At 43.6% G+C, this 22,958-nt stretch overlaps 1 protein-coding gene across 2 annotated transcripts in view; it reads left to right on the top strand.

The window, feature by feature from the left end:
- Nucleotides 1-22,958, top strand: part of NBPF14 (NBPF member 14) — a 64,627-nt gene that overhangs the window by 13,403 nt on the left and 28,266 nt on the right. The window contains exons 13-37 of one of the 2 annotated variants that reach the window (NM_001395631.1): nucleotides 3,372-3,535; nucleotides 4,575-4,626; nucleotides 5,254-5,426; nucleotides 6,148-6,199; nucleotides 6,798-6,970; nucleotides 7,680-7,731; nucleotides 8,384-8,556; nucleotides 9,271-9,379; nucleotides 9,994-10,166; nucleotides 10,876-10,927; nucleotides 11,572-11,744; nucleotides 12,459-12,567; nucleotides 13,182-13,354; nucleotides 14,076-14,127; nucleotides 14,724-14,896; nucleotides 15,606-15,657; nucleotides 16,294-16,466; nucleotides 17,181-17,289; nucleotides 17,898-18,070; nucleotides 18,792-18,843; nucleotides 19,440-19,612; nucleotides 20,322-20,373; nucleotides 21,030-21,202; nucleotides 21,917-22,025; nucleotides 22,644-22,816. In NM_001395631.1, coding sequence (NP_001382560.1) covers nucleotides 3,372-3,535; nucleotides 4,575-4,626; nucleotides 5,254-5,426; nucleotides 6,148-6,199; nucleotides 6,798-6,970; nucleotides 7,680-7,731; nucleotides 8,384-8,556; nucleotides 9,271-9,379; nucleotides 9,994-10,166; nucleotides 10,876-10,927; nucleotides 11,572-11,744; nucleotides 12,459-12,567; nucleotides 13,182-13,354; nucleotides 14,076-14,127; nucleotides 14,724-14,896; nucleotides 15,606-15,657; nucleotides 16,294-16,466; nucleotides 17,181-17,289; nucleotides 17,898-18,070; nucleotides 18,792-18,843; nucleotides 19,440-19,612; nucleotides 20,322-20,373; nucleotides 21,030-21,202; nucleotides 21,917-22,025; nucleotides 22,644-22,816 — 3,092 coding nt within the window. The remainder of the gene's footprint in view (nucleotides 1-3,371; nucleotides 3,536-4,574; nucleotides 4,627-5,253; nucleotides 5,427-6,147; nucleotides 6,200-6,797; nucleotides 6,971-7,679; nucleotides 7,732-8,383; nucleotides 8,557-9,270; nucleotides 9,380-9,993; nucleotides 10,167-10,875; nucleotides 10,928-11,571; nucleotides 11,745-12,458; nucleotides 12,568-13,181; nucleotides 13,355-14,075; nucleotides 14,128-14,723; nucleotides 14,897-15,605; nucleotides 15,658-16,293; nucleotides 16,467-17,180; nucleotides 17,290-17,897; nucleotides 18,071-18,791; nucleotides 18,844-19,439; nucleotides 19,613-20,321; nucleotides 20,374-21,029; nucleotides 21,203-21,916; nucleotides 22,026-22,643; nucleotides 22,817-22,958) is intronic. The other variant, NM_015383.2, reaches the window with a different exon arrangement.

The raw sequence follows: 22,958 nt of genomic DNA, 5'->3' as shown, positions 1-22,958 counted from the left end.
AACATCTTTATTTCTGCCTTCATTTTGTTATTTTCCCAGTAGTCATTCAGGAGCAGGTTGTTCAGTTTCCATGTAGTTGTGTGGTTTTGAGTGAGTTTCTTAATCCTGAGTTCTAATTTGATTGCACTGTGGTCTGACAGTTTGTTGTGATTTCCATTCTTTTACATTTGCTGACGAGTGCTTTACCTCCAACTATGTGGTCAATTTTGGAATAAGTGTGATGTGGTGCTGAGAAGAATGTATATTCTGTTGATTTGGGGTGGAGAGTTCTGTAGATGTCTTTTAGGTCTGCTTGGTGGAGAGCTGAGTTCAAGTCCTGGATATCCTTGTTAAGCTTCTGTCTCATTGATCTGTCTAATATTGACAGTGGGGTGTTAAAGTCTCCCATGATGATTGTGTGGAGTCTAAATCTCTTTGTAGGTCTCTCAGGACTTGCTTTATGAATCTGGGTGCTCCTGTATAGGGTGCATATATATTTAGGATAGTTAACTCTTCTTGTTGAATTGATCCCTTTACCATTATGTAGTGGCCTTCTTTGTCTCTTTTGATCTTTGTTGGTTTAAAGTCTGTTTTATCAGAGACTAGGATTGCAACACCTGCCTTTTTTTGTTTTCCATTTGCTTGGTAGATCTTCCTCCATCCCTTTATTTTGAGCCTATGTGTGTCTCTGCATGTGAGATGGGTTTCCTGAGTACAGCACACTGATGGGTCTTGACTCTTTATCCAATTTGCCATTCTGTGTTTTTTAACTGGGGCATTTAGCCCATTTACATTTAAGGTTAATATTGTTATGTGTGAATTTGATCCTGTCGTTATGATGTTAGCTGGTTATTTCGCCTGTTAGTTGATGCAGTTTCTTCCTAGCGTCAATGGTCTTTACAGTTTGGCATGTTTTTGCAGTGGCTGGTACCGGTTGTTCCTTTCCATGTTTAGTGCTTCCTTTAGGAGCTCTTGTAAGGCAGGCCTGGTGGTGACAAAATCTCTCAGCATTTGCTTCTCTGTAAAGGATTTATTTCTCCTTCACTTATGAAGCTTTGTTTGGCTGGATATGAAATTCTTGGTTGAAAATTCTTTTCTTTCAGAATGTTGAAGGTGCTGGAGAGGATGTGGAGAAATAGGAACACTTTTACACTGTTGGTGGGACTGTAAACTAGTTCAACGATTGTGGAAGGCAGTGTGGCAATTCCTCAGGGATCTAGAACTAGAAATACCATTTGACCCAGCCATCCCATTACTGGGTGTATACCCAAAGGATTATAAATCATGCTGCTGTAAAGACACATGCACACATATGTTTATTGTGGCACTATTCACAATAGCAAAGACTTGGAACCAAGCCAAATATCCAGCAATGATAGACTGGATTAAGAAAATGTGGCACATATACACCATGGAATACTATGCAGCTATAAAAAATGATGAGTTCATGTCCTTTGTAGGGGCATGGATGAAGCTGGAAACCATCATTCTCAGCAAACTATTGCAAGGACAAAAAACCAAATACCGCATGTTCTTACTCACAGGTGGGAATTGAACAATGAGAACACATGGACACAGAAAGGGGAACATCACACACTGGGGCCTGTTGTAGGGTGTGGGGAGGGAGGAGGGGTAGCATTAGGAGATATACCTAATGTTAAATGATGAGTTAATGGGTGAAGCACACCAATGTGGACATGTATACATATGTAACTAACCTGCACGTTGTGCACATGTACCCTAAGACTTAAAGTATTAAAAAAAAAATATATATATATACATACACACAAAAAATAATAAAGGAAAACTATACATATGGAAAAAAAAAAGAATGTTGAATATTGCTCCCACTCTCTTCTGGCTTGTAGGGTTTGTGCCAAGAGATCTGCTGCTAGTCTGATGGGTTTCCCTTTGTGGGTAATCCGACCTTTCTCTCTGGCTGCCCTTAGCATTTTTTCCTTCATTTCAACCTTGGTGAATCTGACAATTACGTGTTTTGGGGTTGCTCTTCTCGAGGAGTATCTTTATGGTGTTCTCTGTGTTTCCTGAATTTGAATGTTGGCCTTCCTTGCTAGGTTGGGGAAGTCCTCCTGGATAATATCCTGAAGAATGTTTCCCAGCTTGGTTCCATTCTCCCCGTCACTTTCAGTACACCAATCAAACGTAGATTTGGTCTTTCCACATAGTCCCATATTTATTGGAGGCTTGTTCATTTCTTTTTACTCTTTTTTCTCTAAACTTCTCTTCTCGCTTCATTTCACTAATTTGATCTTGAATCACTGATACCGTTTCTTGCACTTGATCGAATTGGCTACTGAAGCTTGTGCATGCATCACGTAGTTCTCGTGCCATGGTTTTCAGCTCCATCAGGTCATTTAAGGTCTTCTCTACACTGTTCATTCTGGTTAGCCATTCGTCTAATCTTTTTTCAAGGTTTTTAGCTTCCTTGCGATGAGTTCGCACATCCTCCTTTAGCTCAGAGAAGTTTGTTATTACCGACTTTCTGAAGCCTACTTCTGTCAGCTCATCAAAGTCATTCTCCATCCTGCTTTGTTCCATTGCTGGTGAGGAGCTGCGATCCTTTGGAGGAGAAGGGATGTCAGGTTTTTGGAATTTTCAGCTTTTGTGCTCTGGTTTCTCCCCACCTTTGTGGTTTTATCTACCCTTGGTCTTTGATGATGGCGACCTACAGATGGGGTTTTGGGGTGGATGTCTTTTTTGTTGATGTTGATGCTATTCCTTTCTCTGTGTTAGTTTTCCTTGTAACAGTCAGGTCCCTCAGCTTCAGGTCTGTTGGAGTTTGCTGGAAGTCCACTCCAGACCCTCAAACAGGGATTTCTTGGTGTTGCCTATTCTCTCCCATGTGTCTAAATCCAGGGAGAGGTGTATATATGCTTTCTTCCTATTTGTTGGTAGTATGTTGGCTAGTATTTTTGCAAGAAAAGAAATTGAAAAAGTAAATATATTATATCAAAATATTGGGAAAATGGGGCCCTTAATACACAAGATCTGTGTCTGCACTGCGTCAAGAACTCTCTTCACTTGAATGCTGCATGTAAAATTCAACCCAATTTATGCAAAGTAGTTGAAGCCCTGTGTCAGTTCTCTGTGCTGCAAGTCATGATGGTAGTTTACAGGGAGAGTCCGGGTGCCCTGAGTTGGCTCATCTGTGGCAAATGTACTGAGCACATGCTGCCCATTTTTGCTCTGTCCCCAGAGCAGTCACCCTCCACCCTGTATTTAGAAGGATAGTTTTATTTCTCTTGAAGGAAAAATGCCTTTGGTTTCTGTGACCACTCCATTCTGTCTCCCATCAGATCATCTGGGAGGTTTTGTTGTCTAATGTCTGTTGGTTAAATCTTCTATCATCCCTGTCCTGCCTGGCTCATCAGGAATCTGCAGGAGTCTGAAGAGGAGGAAGTCCCCCAGGAGTCCTGGGATGAAGGTTATTCGACTCTCTCAATTCCTCCTGAAATGTTGGCCTCGTACCAGTCTTACAGCAGCACATTTCACTCATTAGAGGAACAGCAAGTCTGCATGGCTGTTGACATAGGCAGTGAGTACTCCATTGTGAAGGTGATAAAGCTCCAGTTCATGGCCCAGGTAGACCCCATAATCTTTGGGCCTTGTGCCCCTTGTTGGGCTGAGATTTGCCATCACCGTGGGCTGAACCTATATATCAATGTAGATTTCAGTCACTCTGGAGTCAAGTCTGAAGCACAGGCATGGGGTGGGTCAGTGAGCTTTACTCTCTTCCTAGTCTCAGGCCATGCCCATGCCAACCTGGACTGACTGTCACGACATTGAACTCAAGGCAGGTGTGGCAAACTCACACCAAACTATGTAGCACATGCCCAGGAGTTGTCTGTCAGATCAGCTCATCTGAATTAAATGTCTCTTGCCAGCTACAAAATTCCTTATGAGTTTTGTTCCCAAAGCATGTCTGTGTGGTTCTTTACCTGCCCAAGGCCAGTGTCACCCTTGTCTACCTCTCAGTGAAAGATGTGACCCAGGTTTCACTGAATTTATTCCCATTTTCTGTGTCTTCTAAGTTCGCTTGTTTTAGCTCATCTGTCCGTCATGTTCCTGGTATGTTTTCTAGATAAATGGCTGACTTTTCACCCACAAAAGCCATAATAGCTGATGCTTCTGTGTAGAACCAAGTTTCATTTTGACTCAAGAGCTGGTACATTGCACCCCTTCATCAAATCTCTGTGTCCACAATCTCATAAACTATCAAATTCTGGGTATTTGATGAGAGAAAGCTTAATATTGAAGTATCTCTCCTATGAGGTGTTAGAACTATTTGCCTACAATTTATTGGGGAAAAAATTGCTCATTTGTGTACATAAACCTAGGACAGAGCACATAGGGAAGATAACATTCCAACACAGGGGAATTTTGCCCAAGGCTCATGAAAGAACACAAGCCAGTTTTCTCAAGACTTGACCTCAGGCCTACTGGAATATTTCTCTCAAAGTCTCCTGTTCTCACACTGACAAGACTGATGTCCCTGTGTTAGGATTGGACAGAGGAATGTTTCTGTGTGCAAGGAAGAACTTAATGTAAGAGGGCACATCTGAATTTATTTGCAGGACATCGGTGGGATCAAGTGAAAAAGGAGGACCAAGAGGCAACAGGTCCCAGGTGAGTCTGAGAAATTGTGGACAGTTAATTTGATGTTGACACCTGGAGATGCCAAGTCCAGGGAAAACAGTACATCCTGAAAATAATGATTTTGTCTTGTCAGACAAGTCTGAATTATGCCTACTACATTGCTTTTTGGTTCTCATTAGAGTAAATGTTTAGGTTTCCATTTCTTCCTACCCTTATCATTTACTAACCTAGTGAAAGTTGACCATACCTCAAAAGCTGTATTCTCATGGTAACTGCCGGGAAACTTGAGCACATTTTATGCAAAATTATTGAGGACATGCTTTTCATGATCACTGTTCACTGTGTGTCCTGAGAGCACAAATACAGAGTGTCCTTTGACTCCCTCATCAGTGTGTCACCTGACCAATTGACTGACCTCGCTCTGTGTGTGTGTGAGTGTGTGTGTGTGTGTGTGTGTGTGTGTGTGTGTCTTTCTCGTTCATCCTTTTCTACCTGGCCATAGTCTATCCCAACATAAAGGCAATAATTTGTTACCTCATTAATGGATCTGTCCTTTTTCTTTTCAAACTCTTCCTTACGTTAGCCATGAAATCTAGCTGGGGCTGTGTGGTTTCTGATTCCCCCTGGCTTATTCTTTACTTTTTCCCACTTTTCCAGGCTCAGCAGGGAGCTGCTGGATGAGAAAGGGCCTGAAGTCTTGCAGGACTCACTGGATAGATGTTATTCAACTCCTTCAGGTTGTCTTGAACTGACTGACTCATGCCAGCCCTACAGAAGTGCCTTTTATGTATTGGAGCAACAGCGTGTTGGCTTGGCTGTTGACATGGATGGTGAGTACCTTTCTATGAAGGTGATAAGGATCCACTGAGTCTTCTGGTTAGGGTCATATTCCTACTGCAAGTGGCCCTTACTGAGCTGAGAGATGTCATTGCCACAGGGAGAACCTATAGGCACATGTAGGTTGAATGAAACTCTAGTTCCACTTGGAAGCCCAGACAAGGGATGGGTCAGTGAGCAAGGCTCTCTTCCTAGTCTCAGGCCATGCCTGTGGCGCCCTAATCCTACTCTCATGACATTGGACCTGGGCAGATGTGACAAATTCACACAACTCTGATTTTGTCTCAATTTTGTAGATCTTGTAGATTTCATCCTTCACTCTAATTTCAGCGTCTGAAATCCTCGCTACCATGAACAATCTGAGTATTTGATGAGACAGGGCTGAATAGTGCAGTTTTTCTCCTAGCAACCATTTGGGGGCAATTGCTTTAAATCGATTGGAAAAATATGGCATAACCATTTGCACAAACTTGGGACAAATGATATTGGGATAACGATCTACCAGAATAGGGAATTTTACCCACAGTTTCTGGGACAAAAACCAAGGAATCTCTATGGTGATCAGCCTTCAGGCCTCCTGAAGAATATCTCTCACAGTGTCCTATTCTCATGCTGAGGAGCCTGAAGTCCCTGTGTGAGGATTAGACAGTGGATTGTTATGTGTGTTTAGGAGAACCAGCTTAATATGTCTGTCCATGTCTGAACTTATTGCAGAAATTGAAAAGTACCAAGAAGTGGAAGAAGACCAAGACCCATCATGCCCCAGGTAACTTTGAGCAATTATGGATGCTTAATTCTGTGTTGACACCTGGAGATGCCAGGTCCAGGGAAAACAAGAGTGTGTTCAATTTCATGTTTTCAACGAAGGTTGAATTACTCCTACTGACATTGCTGTTGGTTTTCATTGCAGTAGATGCTTAGGTTTCCATTTCTTCCTCCCCTTATCATTTACTCACTTACTATAGGTTGACCATACCTCAAAGGCTGTATGGCAACTGCATGGAATCTTGAGCAAGTTTACGGAAAATTATTGAGCCCACTCTTTTCATGATCACTGTTCGCTGTGTGTCCCGAGGGCACTAACTCAGAGTGTCCTTTAACCCCTTCATCAGTGTGTCACCCGGCCAATTCGCTGAGCTCACTTTCTCCTCTCTCTCTCTCTCTCCCTCTCCCTGTCTTTCTCTTTCATTCTTTTCTACCTGGCCCTGGTCTATCCCAACATAAAGGCAATAATTCATTACCTCATTAATGGATCTGTCCTTTTTCTTTTTAAACAGTTCCTTATGTTAGCCATGAAATCTAGCTGGGGCTGTGTGGTTTCTGATTCCCCCTGGCTTATTCTTTACTTTTTCCTACTTTTCCAGGCTCAGCAGGGAGCTGCTGGATGAGAAAGAGCCTGAAGTCTTGCAGGACTCACTGGATAGATGTTATTCGACTCCTTCAGGTTATCTTGAACTGCCTGACTTAGGCCAGCCCTACAGCAGTGCTGTTTACTCATTGGAGGAACAGTACCTTGGCTTGGCTCTTGACGTGGACAGTGAGTACCTTACTGTGAAGGTGATAAGCCTCCACCTGGTCTTCCAGATAGGGGTGATATTCCTGTTCCAAGTGCCCCTTACTGACCCGAGAGACGTCATTGCCGCAGGCAGGACCTATGGGCGCATATAGGTTGTAATGAAACTGTAGTCTCAGTTGGAAGCCTAGACATGAAATGGGTCAGTGAGCAAGGCTCTATTCCTAGTCTCCAGCCATGCCTGTGGCAACCTGAGCCCGCTCTCAGCACATTGGACCCAGGCAGATGTAAAAAATTCACAGAAGTATGATTTGGACTCAAGGGTTTGTAGATTTCCTCCTTCATTCTAATTTCAGTGTCTAAAATTCTTGCATCCATGAACGAGCTGGGCATTTGATGAGACAGGGCTGAATACTTTAGTTTTCCTCCTGGAAATCATCTGGGGCATTTTCTTTGAACTGATGGGAACAATAAAGCATAACTGTTTGCACAAACTTGGGATAAATGATTTTGGGATAACGATCTACCAGAATGGGGATATTTCACCCTTGGTTCTGAGATGCAAACCAAAGAATATCATGACCAGCTTTCAGGCCTCCTGAAGTATATCTCTCACATTGTCCTGTTCTCATGCTGAGGAGCCTGAGATCCCTGTGTGGGGATTAGACAGTGGACTGTTATGGGTGTAGGTGAATTGGCTTATTTTGTCTGTCCCTGTCTGAATGTATTGCAGGAATTAAAAAGGACGAAGAAGAGGAAGAAGACCAAGACCCACCATGCCCCAGGTAACTGAGCAATTGTGAACAGCTACTTCTGTGTTGACATCTGGAGACTCCTGGTTCAGGGAAAACAGAGCGGGCTGACATTATCGATTACATCTTTTCAACCAAGCCTGAATTATTCCTACTAACATTGCTGTTGGTTTTCATTGCAGTAGATATTTAGGTTTCCATTTCTTCCTCCCCTTATCATTTACTAACCTACTGTAGGTGGACCAGACTTCAAAAACTGTATTCTCATGGCGACTGCATGGAAACTTGAGCACATTTTATGGAAAATTATTGAGCACAGTCTTTTCATGATCCCTGTATGCTGTGTGTCCTGAGGGCACTAACTCAGAGTGTCCTGTTACTCCCTCATCAGTGTGTCACCTGGACAATTCACTGAGCTCGTTCTCTCTCTCTCTCTCTGTGTGTGTGTGTGTGTGTGTGTGTGTGTGTGTGTGTGTGTGTGTGTGTGTCTATCTGTCTTTCTCTTTCATTCTTTTCCATTTGGCCCTGTTCTGTCCCAACATGAAGGCAACAATTTGTTACCTCATTAATGGATCTATCCTTTTAGTTTTTTAACCACTTCCCTATGCTACCCATGAAACCTAGTTGGGGCTCTGTTGTGTCTGATTTCCCCTGGCTTATTCTTTACTTTTTCCTCCTTTTCCAGGCTCAGCAGGGAGCTGCTGGAGGTAGTAGAGCCTGAAGTCTTGCAGGACTCACTGGATAGATGTTATTCAACTCCTTCCAGTTGTCTTGAACAGCCTGACTCCTGCCAGCCCTATGGAAGTTCCTTTTATGCATTGGAGGAAAAACATGTTGGCTTTTCTCTTGACGTGGGAGGTGAGTACCTTTCTATGAAGGTGATGAGGATCCACTGAGTCCTCCATATAAAGATCATATTCCTGCTCCAAGTGGCCATTACTGAGCTGAGAGATGTCATTGCCACAGGGAGGACCTATAGGCACATGTAGGTTGAATGAAACTCTAGTTCTACCTGGAAGCCCAGACAAGGGATGGGTCAGTGAGCAAGACTCTCTTCCTAGTCTCAGGCCATACCTGTGGCGCCCTGATCCTATTCTCATGACATTGGACCTGGGCAGATGTGACAAATTCAGAGAACTATGATTTTGACTCAAGGGTTTGTAGATTTCCTTTTTCACTCTAATTTCAGTGTCTAAAGTCCTCACAACCATGAACAATCTGAGTATTTGATGAGACAGGGCTAAATATTGCAGTTTTTCTCCTAGAAATCATTTGAGGGTATTTGCTTTAAGTTGATTGGAAAAATATGGCGTAACTGTTTGCAGAAACTTGGGACAAATGATATTGGGATAACGATCTACTAGAATAGGGACATTTTACCCACAGTTTCTGGGAGAAAAACCGAGGAATTTCTATCATGACCAGCCTTCAGGCCTCCTGAAATATATCTCTCACAGTGTCCTATTCTTATGCTGAGGAGCCTGAGGTCCCTGTGTGAGGATTAGACAGTGGATTGTTATGTGTGTAGGGGAATCAGCTTAATGTGTCTGTCCATGTCTGAATTTATTGCAGAAATTGAAAAGAAGGGGAAGGGGAAGAAAAGAAGGGGAAGAAGATCAAAGAAGGAAAGAAGAAGGGGAAGAAAAGAAGGGGAAGAAGATCAAAACCCACCATGCCCCAGGTGACTTTCAGCAATTGTGGATGCTTAATTCTGTGTTAACACCTGGAGGCAACAGATTCAGGGAAACCAGAGTGTGTTTGATGACATGTTTTCAGCGAAGGCTGAATTACTCCTACTGTCATTGCTGTTGGTTTTCATTGCAGTAGATGTTTAGGTTTCCATTTCTTCCTCCCCTTATCATTTCCTAACGTACCATAGGTTGACCATACTTCAAAAGCTGTACTCTCATGGCCACTGCATCGAATTTTGAGCATATTTTATGGAAAACTATTGAGCTCACTCTTTTCATGATCACAGTTTGCTGTGTGTCATGAGGGCACTAACTCAGAGTGTCCTTTGACTCCCTTACCAGTATGTCACCTGGCCAATTCACTAGGTCACTTTCTCTCTGTCTCTGTCTCTGTCTCTGTCTCTGTCTCTGTCTGTCTCTCTCTTTCATTGTTTTCTATCTGGCCCTGTTCTATCCCAACATAAAGGCAATAATTTGTTACCTCATTAATGGATCTGTCCTTTTTCTTTTCAAACTCTTCCTTACGTTAGCCATGAAATCTAGCTGGGGCTGTGTGGTTTCTGATTCCCCCTGGCTTATTCTTTACTTTTTCCCACTTTTCCAGGCTCAGCAGGGAGCTGCTGGATGAGAAAGAGCCTGAAGTCTTGCAGGACTCACTGGATAGATGTTATTCGACTCCTTCAGGTTATCTTGAACTGCCTGACTTAGGCCAGCCCTACAGCAGTGCTGTTTACTCATTGGAGGAACAGTACCTTGGCTTGGCTCTTGACGTGGACAGTGAGTACCTTACTGTGAAGGTGATAAGCCTCCACCTGGTCTTCCAGATAGGGGTGATATTCCTGTTCCAAGTGCCCCTTACTGACCCGAGAGACGTCATTGCCGCAGGCAGGACCTATGGGCGCATATAGGTTGTAATGAAACTGTAGTCTCAGTTGGAAGCCTAGACATGAAATGGGTCAGTGAGCAAGGCTCTATTCCTAGTCTCCAGCCATGCCTGTGGCAACCTGAGCCCGCTCTCAGCACATTGGACCCAGGCAGATGTAAAAAATTCACAGAAGTATGATTTGGACTCAAGGGTTTGTAGATTTCCTCCTTCATTCTAATTTCAGTGTCTAAAATTCTTGCATCCATGAACGAGCTGGGCATTTGATGAGACAGGGCTGAATACTTTAGTTTTCCTCCTGGAAATCATCTGGGGCATTTTCTTTGAACTGATGGGAACAATAAAGCATAACTGTTTGCACAAACTTGGGATAAATGATTTTGGGATAACGATCTACCAGAATGGGGATATTTCACCCTTGGTTCTGAGATGCAAACCAAAGAATATCATGACCAGCTTTCAGGCCTCCTGAAGTATATCTCTCACATTGTCCTGTTCTCATGCTGAGGAGCCTGAGATCCCTGTGTGGGGATTAGACAGTGGACTGTTATGGGTGTAGGTGAATTGGCTTATTTTGTCTGTCCCTGTCTGAATGTATTGCAGGAATTAAAAAGGACGAAGAAGAGGAAGAAGACCAAGACCCACCATGCCCCAGGTAACTGAGCAATTGTGAACAGCTACTTCTGTGTTGACATCTGGAGACTCCTGGTTCAGGGAAAACAGAGCGGGCTGACATTATCGATTACATCTTTTCAACCAAGCCTGAATTATTCCTACTAACATTGCTGTTGGTTTTCATTGCAGTAGATATTTAGGTTTCCATTTCTTCCTCCCCTTATCATTTACTAACCTACTGTAGGTGGACCAGACTTCAAAAACTGTATTCTCATGGCGACTGCATGGAAACTTGAGCACATTTTATGGAAAATTATTGAGCACAGTCTTTTCATGATCCCTGTATGCTGTGTGTCCTGAGGGCACTAACTCAGAGTGTCCTGTTACTCCCTCATCAGTGTGTCACCTGGACAATTCACTGAGCTCGTTCTCTCTCTCTCTCTCTCTGTGTGTGTGTGTGTGTGTGTGTGTGTGTGTGTGTGTGTGTCTATCTGTCTTTCTCTTTCATTCTTTTCCATTTGGCCCTGTTCTGTCCCAACATGAAGGCAACAATTTGTTACCTCATTAATGGATCTATCCTTTTAGTTTTTTAACCACTTCCCTATGCTACCCATGAAACCTAGTTGGGGCTCTGTTGTGTCTGATTTCCCCTGGCTTATTCTTTACTTTTTCCTCCTTTTCCAGGCTCAGCAGGGAGCTGCTGGAGGTAGTAGAGCCTGAAGTCTTGCAGGACTCACTGGATAGATGTTATTCAACTCCTTCCAGTTGTCTTGAACAGCCTGACTCCTGCCAGCCCTATGGAAGTTCCTTTTATGCATTGGAGGAAAAACATGTTGGCTTTTCTCTTGACGTGGGAGGTGAGTACCTTTCTATGAAGGTGATGAGGATCCACTGAGTCCTCCATATAAAGATCATATTCCTGCTCCAAGTGGCCATTACTGAGCTGAGAGATGTCATTGCCACAGGGAGGACCTATAGGCACATGTAGGTTGAATGAAACTCTAGTTCTACCTGGAAGCCCAGACAAGGGATGCGTCAGTGAGCAAGACTCTCTTCCTAGTCTCAGGCCATACCTGTGGCGCCCTGATCCTATTCTCATGACATTGGACCTGGGCAGATGTGACAAATTCAGAGAACTATGATTTTGACTCAAGGGTTTGTAGATTTCCTTTTTCACTCTAATTTCAGTGTCTAAAGTCCTCACAACCATGAACAATCTGAGTATTTGATGAGACAGGGCTAAATATTGCAGTTTTTCTCCTAGAAATCATTTGAGGGTATTTGCTTTAAGTTGATTGGAAAAATATGGCGTAACTGTTTGCAGAAACTTGGGACAAATGATATTGGGATAACGATCTACTAGAATAGGGACATTTTACCCACAGTTTCTGGGAGAAAAACCGAGGAATTTCTATCATGACCAGCCTTCAGGCCTCCTGAAATATATCTCTCACAGTGTCCTATTCTTATGCTGAGGAGCCTGAGGTCCCTGTGTGAGGATTAGACAGTGGATTGTTATGTGTGTAGGGGAATCAGCTTAATGTGTCTGTCCATGTCTGAATTTATTGCAGAAATTGAAAAGAAGGGGAAGGGGAAGAAAAGAAGGGGAAGAAGATCAAAGAAGGAAAGAAGAAGGGGAAGAAAAGAAGGGGAAGAAGATCAAAACCCACCATGCCCCAGGTGACTTTCAGCAATTGTGGATGCTTAATTCTGTGTTAACACCTGGAGGCAACAGATTCAGGGAAACCAGAGTGTGTTTGATGACATGTTTTCAGCGAAGGCTGAATTACTCCTACTGTCATTGCTGTTGGTTTTCATTGCAGTAGATGTTTAGGTTTCCATTTCTTCCTCCCCTTATCATTTCCTAACGTACCATAGGTTGACCATACTTCAAAAGCTGTACTCTCATGGCCACTGCATCGAATTTTGAGCATATTTTATGGAAAACTATTGAGCTCACTCTTTTCATGATCACAGTTTGCTGTGTGTCATGAGGGCACTAACTCAGAGTGTCCTTTGACTCCCTTACCAGTATGTCACCTGGCCAATTCACTAGGTCACTTTCTCTCTGTCTCTGTCTCTGTCTCTGTCTCTGTCTCTGTCTGTCTCTCTCTTTCATTGTTTTCTATCTGGCCCTGTTCTATCCCAACATAAAGGCAATAATTTGTTACCTCATTAATGGATCTGTCCTTTTTCTTTTCAAACTCTTCCTTACGTTAGCCATGAAATCTAGCTGGGGCTGTGTGGTTTCTGATTCCCCCTGGCTTATTCTTTACTTTTTCCCACTTTTCCAGGCTCAGCAGGGAGCTGCTGGATGAGAAAGGGCCTGAAGTCTTGCAGGACTCACTGGATAGATGTTATTCAACTCCTTCAGGTTGTCTTGAACTGACTGACTCATGCCAGCCCTACAGAAGTGCCTTTTATGTATTGGAGCAACAGCGTGTTGGCTTGGCTGTTGACATGGATGGTGAGTACCTTTCTATGAAGGTGATAAGGATCCACTGAGTCTTCTGGTTAGGGTCATATTCCTACTGCAAGTGGCCCTTACTGAGCTGAGAGGTGTCATTGCCACAGGGAGGAACTATAGGCACATGTAGGTTGAGTGAAACTCTAGTTCCACTTGGAAGCCCAGACAAGGGATGGGTCAGTGAGCAAGGCTCTCTTCGTAGTCTCAGGCCATGCCTGTGGCGCCCTAATCCTACTCTCAAGATGTGGGATCTGGGCAGATGTGACAAATTCACACAACTCTGATTTTGTCTCAATTTTGTAGATCTCGTAGATTTCATCCTTCACTCTAATTTCAGCGTCTAAAATCCTCGCTACCATGAACAATCTGAGTATTTGATGAGACAGGGCTGAATAGTGCAGTTTTTCTCCTAGCAGCCATTTGGGGGCATTTGCTTTAAATCGATTGGAAAAATATGGCATAACCATTTGCACAAACTTGGGACAAATGATATTGGGATAACGATCTACCAGAATAGGGAATTTTACCCACAGTTTCTGGGACAAAAACCAAGGAATCTCTATGGTGATCAGCCTTCAGGCCTCCTGAAGAATATCTCTCACAGTGTCCTATTCTCATGCTGAGGAGCCTGAAGTCCCTGTGTGAGGATTAGACAGTGGATTGTTATGTGTGTTTAGGAGAACCAGCTTAATATGTCTGTCCATGTCTGAACTTATTGCAGAAATTGAAAAGTACCAAGAAGTGGAAGAAGACCAAGACCCATCATGCCCCAGGTAACTTTGAGCAATTATGGATGCTTAATTCTGTGTTGACACCTGGAGATGCCAGGTCCAGGGAAAACAAGAGTGTGTTCAATTTCATGTTTTCAACGAAGGTTGAATTACTCCTACTGACATTGCTGTTGGTTTTCATTGCAGTAGATGTTTAGGTTTCCATTTCTTCCTCCCCTTATCATTTACTCACTTACTATAGGTTGACCATACCTCAAAGGCTGTATGGCAACTGCATGGAATCTTGAGCAAGTTTATGGAAAATTATTGAGCCCACTCTTTTCGTGATCACTGTTCGCTGTGTGTCCCGAGGGCACTAACTCAGAGTGTCCTTTGACCCCTTCATCAGTGTGTCACCCGGCCAATTCGCTGAGCTCACTTTCTCCTCTCTCTCTCTCTCCCTCTCCCTGTCTTTCTCTTTCATTCTTTTCTACCTGGCCCTGGTCTATCCCAACATAAAGGCAATAATTCATTACCTCATTAATGGATCTGTCCTTTTTCTTTTTAAACAGTTCCTTATGTTAGCCATGAAATCTAGCTGGGGCTGTGTGGTTTCTGATTCCCCCTGGCTTATTCTTTACTTTTTCCTACTTTTCCAGGCTCAGCAGGGAGCTGCTGGATGAGAAAGAGCCTGAAGTCTTGCAGGACTCACTGGATAGATGTTATTCGACTCCTTCAGGTTATCTTGAACTGCCTGACTTAGGCCAGCCCTACAGCAGTGCTGTTTACTCATTGGAGGAACAGTACCTTGGCTTGGCTCTTGACGTGGACAGTGAGTACCTTACTGTGAAGGTGATAAGCCTCCACCTGGTCTTCCAGATAGGGGTGATATTCCTGTTCCAAGTGCCCCTTACTGACCCGAGAGACGTCATTGCCGCAGGCAGGACCTATGGGCGCATATAGTTTGTAATGAAACTGTAGTCTCAGTTGGAAGCCTAGACATGAAATGGGTCAGTGAGCAAGGCTCTATTCCTAGTCTCCAGCCATGCCTGTGGCAACCTGAGCCCGCTCTCAGCACATTGGACCCAGGCAGATGTAAAAAATTCACAGAAGTATGATTTGGACTCAAGGGTTTGTAGATTTCCTCCTTCATTCTAATTTCAGTGTCTAAAATTCTTGCATCCATGAACGAGCTGGGCATTTGATGAGACAGGGCTGAATACTTTAGTTTTCCTCCTGGAAATCATCTGGGGCATTTTCTTTGAACTGATGGGAACAATAAAGCATAACTGTTTGCACAAACTTGGGATAAATGATTTTGGGATAACGATCTACCAGAATGGGGATATTTCACCCTTGGTTCTGAGATGCAAACCAAAGAATATCATGACCAGCTTTCAGGCCTCCTGAAGTATATCTCTCACATGGTCCTGTTCTCATGCTGAGGAGCCTGAGATCCCTGTGTGGGGATTAGACAGTGGACTGTTATGGGTGTAGGTGAATTGGCTTATTTTGTCTGTCCCTGTCTGAATGTATTGCAGGAATTAAAAAGGACGAAGAAGAGGAAGAAGACCAAGACCCACCATGCCCCAGGTAACTGAGCAATTGTGAACAGCTACTTCTGTGTTGACATCTGGAGACTCCTGGTTCAGGGAAAACAGAGCGGGCTGACATTATCGATTACATCTTTTCAACCAAGCCTGAATTATTCCTACTAACATTGCTGTTGGTTTTCATTGCAGTAGATATTTAGGTTTCCATTTCTTCCTCCCCTTATCATTTACTAACCTACTGTAGGTGGACCAGACTTCAAACACTGTATTCTCATGGTGACTGCATGGAAACTTGAGCACATTTTATGGAAAATTATTGAGCACAGTCTTTTCATGATCCCTGTATGCTGTGTGTCCTGAGGGCACTAACTCAGAGTGTCCTGTTACTCCCTCATCAGTGTGTCACCTGGACAATTCACTGAGCTCGTTCTCTGTGTGTGTGTGTGTGTTTGTGTGTGTGTGTGTGTGTGTGTGTGTGTGTGTCTGTCTTTCTCTTTCATTCTTTTCCATTTGGCCCTGTTCTGTCCCAACATGAAGGCAACAATTTGTTACCTCATTAATGGATCTATCCTTTTAGTTTTTTAACCACTTCCCTATGCTACCCATGAAACCTAGTTGAGGCTCTGTTGTGTCTGATTTCCCCTGGCTTATTCTTTACCTTTTCCTCCTTTTCCAGGCTCAGCAGGGAGCTGCTGGAGGTAGTAGAGCCTGAAGTCTTGCAGGACTCACTGGATAGATGTTATTCAACTCCTTCCAGTTGTCTTGAACAGCCTGACTCCTGCCAGCCCTATGGAAGTTCCTTTTATGCATTGGAGGAAAAACATGTTGGCTTTTCTCTTGACGTGGGAGGTGAGTACCTTTCTATGAAGGTGATAAGGATCCACTGAGTCTTCCATATAAAGATCATATTCCTGCTCCAAGTGGCCATTACTGAGCTGAGAGATGTCATTGCCACAGGGAGGACCTATAGGCACATGTAGGTTGAATGAAACTCTAGTTCTACCTGGAAGCCCAGACAAGGGATGGGTCAGTGAGCAAGACTCTCTTCCTAGTCTCAGGCCATACCTGTGGCGCCCTGATCCTATTCTCATGACATTGGACCTGGGCAGATGTGACAAATTCAGAGAACTATGATTTTGACTCAAGGGTTTGTAGATTTCCTTTTTCACTCTAATTTCAGTGTCTAATGTCCTCACAACCATGAACAATCTGAGTATTTGATGAGACAGGGCTAAATATTGCAGTTTTTCTCCTAGAAATCATTTGAGGGTATTTGCTTTAAGTTGATTGGAAAAATATGGCGTAACTGTTTGCAGAAACTTGGGACAAATGATATTGGGATAACGATCTACTAGAATAGGGACATTTTACCCACAGTTTCTGGGAGAAAAACCGAGGAATTTCTATCATGACCAGCCTTCAGGCCTCCTGAAATATATCTCTCACAGTGTCCTATTCTTATGCTGAGGAGCCTGAGGTCCCTGTGTGAGGATTAGACAGTGGATTGTTATGTGTGTAGGGGAATCAGCTTAATGTGTCTGTCCATGTCTGAATTTATTGCAGAAATTGAAAAGAAGGGGAAGGGGAAGAAAAGAAGGGGAAGAAGATCAAAGAAGGAAAGAAGAAGGGGAAGAAAAGAAGGGGAAGAAGATCAAAACCCACCATGCCCCAGGTGACTTTCAGCAATTGTGGATGCTTAATTCTGTGTTAACACCTGGAGGCAACAGATTCAGGGAAACCAGAGTGTGTTTGATGACATGTTTTCAGCGAAGGCTGAATTACTCCTACTGTCATTGCTGTTGGTTTTCATTGCAGTAGATGTTTAGGTTTCCATTTCTTCCTCCCCTTATCATTTCCTAACGTACCATAGGTTGACCATACTTCAAAAGCTGTACTCTCATGGCCACTGCATCGAATTTTGAGCATATTTTATGGAAAACTATTGAGCTCACTCTTTTCATGATCACAGTTTGCTGTGTGTCATGAGGGCACTAACTCAGAGTGTCCTTTGACTCCCTTACCAGTATGTCACCTGGCCAATTCACTAGGTCACTTTCTCTCTGTCTCTGTCTCTGTCTCTGTCTCTGTCTGTCTTTCTCTTTCATTGTTTTCTACCTGGCCCTGTTCTATCCCAACATAAAGGCAATAATTTGTTACCTCATTAATGGATCTGTCCTTTTTCTTTTCAAACTCTTCCTTACGTTAGCCATGAAATCTAGCTGGGGCTGTGTGGTTTCTGATTCCCCCTGGCTTATTCTTTACTTTTTCCCACTTTTCCAGGCTCAGCAGGGAGCTGCTGGATGAGAAAGGGCCTGAAGTCTTGCAGGACTCACTGGATAGATGTTATTCAACTCCTTCAGGTTGTCTTGAACTGACTGACTCATGCCAGCCCTACAGAAGTGCCTTTTATGTATTGGAGCAACAGCGTGTTGGCTTGGCTGTTGACATGGATGGTGAGTACCTTTCTATGAAGGTGATAAGGATCCACTGAGTCTTCTGGTTAGGGTCATATTCCTACTGCAAGTGGCCCTTACTGAGCTGAGAGATGTCATTGCCACAGGGAGGAACTATAGGCACATGTAGGTTGAGTGAAACTCTAGTTCCACTTGGAAGCCCAGACAAGGGATGGGTCAGTGAGCAAGGCTCTCTTCGTAGTCTCAGGCCATGCCTGTGGCGCCCTAATCCTACTCTCAAGATGTGGGATCTGGGCAGATGTGACAAATTCACACAACTCTGATTTTGTCTCAATTTTGTAGATCTCGTAGATTTCATCCTTCACTCTAATTTCAGCGTCTAAAATCCTCACTACCATGAACAATCTGAGTATTTGATGAGACAGGGCTGAATAGTGCAGTTTTTCTCCTAGCAGCCATTTGGGGGCATTTGCTTTAAATCGATTGGAAAAATATGGCATAACCATTTGCACAAACTTGGGACAAATGATATTGGGATAACGATCTACCAGAATAGGGAATTTTACCCACAGTTTCTGGGACAAAAACCAAGGAATCTCTATGGTGATCAGCCTTCAGGCCTCCTGAAGAATATCTCTCACAGTGTCCTATTCTCATGCTGAGGAGCCTGAAGTCCCTGTGTGAGGATTAGACAGTGGATTGTTATGTGTGTTTAGGAGAACCAGCTTAATATGTCTGTCCATGTCTGAACTTATTGCAGAAATTGAAAAGTACCAAGAAGTGGAAGAAGACCAAGACCCATCATGCCCCAGGTAACTTTGAGCAATTATGGATGCTTAATTCTGTGTTGACACCTGGAGATGCCAGGTCCAGGGAAAACAAGAGTGTGTTCAATTTCATGTTTTCAACGAAGGTTGAATTACTCCTACTGACATTGCTGTTGGTTTTCATTGCAGTAGATGTTTAGGTTTCCATTTCTTCCTCCCCTTATCATTTACTCACTTACTATAGGTTGACCATACCTCAAAGGCTGTATGGCAACTGCATGGAATCTTGAGCAAGTTTATGGAAAATTATTGAGCCCACTCTTTTCGTGATCACTGTTCGCTGTGTGTCCCGAGGGCACTAACTCAGAGTGTCCTTTGACCCCTTCATCAGTGTGTCACCCGGCCAATTCGCTGAGCTCACTTTCTCCTCTCTCTCTCTCTCCCTCTCCCTGTCTTTCTCTTTCATTCTTTTCTACCTGGCCCTGGTCTATCCCAACATAAAGGCAATAATTCATTACCTCATTAATGGATCTGTCCTTTTTCTTTTTAAACAGTTCCTTATGTTAGCCATGAAATCTAGCTGGGGCTGTGTGGTTTCTGATTCCCCCTGGCTTATTCTTTACTTTTTCCTACTTTTCCAGGCTCAGCAGGGAGCTGCTGGATGAGAAAGAGCCTGAAGTCTTGCAGGACTCACTGGATAGATGTTATTCGACTCCTTCAGGTTATCTTGAACTGCCTGACTTAGGCCAGCCCTACAGCAGTGCTGTTTACTCATTGGAGGAACAGTACCTTGGCTTGGCTCTTGACGTGGACAGTGAGTACCTTACTGTGAAGGTGATAAGCCTCCACCTGGTCTTCCAGATAGGGGTGATATTCCTGTTCCAAGTGCCCCTTACTGACCCGAGAGACGTCATTGCCGCAGGCAGGACCTATGGGCGCATATAGGTTGTAATGAAACTGTAGTCTCAGTTGGAAGCCTAGACATGAAATGGGTCAGTGAGCAAGGCTCTATTCCTAGTCTCCAGCCATGCCTGTGGCAACCTGAGCCCGCTCTCAGCACATTGGACCCAGGCAGATGTAAAAAATTCACAGAAGTATGATTTGGACTCAAGGGTTTGTAGATTTCCTCCTTCATTCTAATTTCAGTGTCTAAAATTCTTGCATCCATGAACGAGCTGGGCATTTGATGAGACAGGGCTGAATACTTTAGTTTTCCTCCTGGAAATCATCTGGGGCATTTTCTTTGAACTGATGGGAACAATAAAGCATAACTGTTTGCACAAACTTGGGATAAATGATTTTGGGATAACGATCTACCAGAATGGGGATATTTCACCCTTGGTTCTGAGATGCAAACCAAAGAATATCATGACCAGCTTTCAGGCCTCCTGAAGTATATCTCTCACATGGTCCTGTTCTCATGCTGAGGAGCCTGAGATCCCTGTGTGGGGATTAGACAGTGGACTGTTATGGGTGTAGGTGAATTGGCTTATTTTGTCTGTCCCTGTCTGAATGTATTGCAGGAATTAAAAAGGACGAAGAAGAGGAAGAAGACCAAGACCCACCATGCCCCAGGTAACTGAGCAATTGTGAACAGCTACTTCTGTGTTGACATCTGGAGACTCCTGGTTCAGGGAAAACAGAGCGGGCTGACATTATCGATTACATCTTTTCAACCAAGCCTGAATTATTCCTACTAACATTGCTGTTGGTTTTCATTGCAGTAGATATTTAGGTTTCCATTTCTTCCTCCCCTTATCATTTACTAACCTACTGTAGGTGGACCAGACTTCAAAAACTGTATTCTCATGGTGACTGCATGGAAACTTGAGCACATTTTATGGAAAATTATTGAGCACAGTCTTTTCATGATCCCTGTATGCTGTGTGTCCTGAGGGCACTAACTCAGAGTGTCCTGTTACTCCCTCATCAGTGTGTCACCTGGACAATTCACTGAGCTCGTTCTCTCTCTCTCTCTCTCTCTCTCTCTCTGTGTGTGTGTGTGTGTTTGTGTGTGTGTGTGTGTGTGTGTGTCTATCTGTCTTTCTCTTTCATTCTTTTCCATTTGGCCCTGTTCTGTCCCAACATGAAGGCAATAATTTGTTACCTCATTAATGGATCTATCCTTTTAGTTTTTTAACCACTTCCCTATGCTACCCATGAAACCTAGTTGGGGCTCTGTTGTGTCTGATTTCCCCTGGCTTATTCTTTACTTTTTCCTCCTTTTCCAGGCTCAGCAGGGAGCTGCTGGAGGTAGTAGAGCCTGAAGTCTTGCAGGACTCACTGGATAGATGTTATTCAACTCCTTCCAGTTGTCTTGAACAGCCTGACTCCTGCCAGCCCTATGGAAGTTCCTTTTATGCATTGGAGGAAAAACATGTTGGCTTTTCTCTTGACGTGGGAGGTGAGTACCTTTCTATGAAGGTGATGAGGATCCACTGAGTCTTCCATATAAAGATCATATTCCTGCTCCAAGTGGCCATTACTGAGCTGAGAGATGTCATTGCCACAGGGAGGACCTATAGGCACATGTAGGTTGAATGAAACTCTAGTTCTACCTGGAAGCCCAGACAAGGGATGGGTCAGTGAGCAAGACTCTCTTCCTAGTCTCAGGCCATACCTGTGGCGCCCTGATCCTATTCTCATGACATTGGACCTGGGCAGATGTGACAAATTCAGAGAACTATGATTTTGACTCAAGGGTTTGTAGATTTCCTTTTTCACTCTAATTTCAGTGTCTAAAGTCCTCACAACCATGAACAATCTGAGTATTTGATGAGACAGGGCTAAATATTGCAGTTTTTCTCCTAGAAATCATTTGAGGGTATTTGCTTTAAGTTGATTGGAAAAATATGGCGTAACTGTTTGCAGAAACTTGGGACAAATGATATTGGGATAACGATCTACTAGAATAGGGACATTTTACCCACAGTTTCTGGGAGAAAAACCGAGGAATTTCTATCATGACCAGCCTTCAGGCCTCCTGAAATATATCTCTCACAGTGTCCTATTCTTATGCTGAGGAGCCTGAGGTCCCTGTGTGAGGATTAGACAGTGGATTGTTATGTGTGTAGGGGAATCAGCTTAATGTGTCTGTCCATGTCTGAATTTATTGCAGAAATTGAAAAGAAGGGGAAGGGGAAGAAAAGAAGGGGAAGAAGATCAAAGAAGGAAAGAAGAAGGGGAAGAAAAGAAGGGGAAGAAGATCAAAACCCACCATGCCCCAGGTGACTTTCAGCAATTGTGGATGCTTAATTCTGTGTTAACACCTGGAGGCAACAGATTCAGGGAAACCAGAGTGTGTTTGATGACATGTTTTCAGCGAAGGCTGAATTACTCCTACTGTCATTGCTGTTGGTTTTCATTGCAGTAGATGTTTAGGTTTCCATTTCTTCCTCCCCTTATCATTTCCTAACGTACCATAGGTTGACCATACTTCAAAAGCTGTACTCTCATGGCCACTGCATCGAATTTTGAGCATATTTTATGGAAAACTATTGAGCTCACTCTTTTCATGATCACAGTTTGCTGTGTGTCATGAGGGCACTAACTCAGAGTGTCCTTTGACTCCCTTACCAGTATGTCACCTGGCCAATTCACTAGGTCACTTTCTCTCTGTCTCTGTCTCTGTCTCTGTCTCTGTCTCTCTCTCTCTGTCTTTCTCTTTCATTGTTTTCTACCTGGCCCTGTTCTATCCCAACATAAAGGCAATAATTTGTTACCTCATTAATGGATCTGTCCTTTTTCTTTTCAAACTCTTCCTTACGTTAGCCATGAAATCTAGCTGGGGCTGTGTGGTTTCTGATTCCCCCTGGCTTATTCTTTACTTTTTTCCACTTTTCCAGGCTCAGCAGGGAGCTGCTGCATGAGAAAGGGCCTGAAGTCTTGCAGGACTCACTGGATAGATGTTATTCAACTCCTTCAGGTTGTCTTGAACTGACTGACTCATGCCAGCCCTATAGAAGTGCCTTTTACATATTGGAGCAGCAGCGTGTTGGCTTGGCTGTTGACATGGATGGTGAGTACCTTTCTATGAAGGTGATAAGGATCCACTGAGTCTTCTGGTTAGGGTCATATTCCTACTGCAAGTGGCCCTTACTGAGCTGAGAGATGTCATTGCCACAGGGAGGACCTATAGGCACATGTAGGTTGAATGAAAC

This window comes from Homo sapiens, chromosome 1, assembly GCF_000001405.40.
Source record: "Homo sapiens chromosome 1, GRCh38.p14 Primary Assembly".
Classification (NCBI taxonomy): Eukaryota; Metazoa; Chordata; class Mammalia; order Primates; family Hominidae; genus Homo; species Homo sapiens.
The sequence above is the reverse complement of the archived record's forward strand: the minus strand, read 5'-3'. Positions and strand labels throughout refer to the sequence as shown.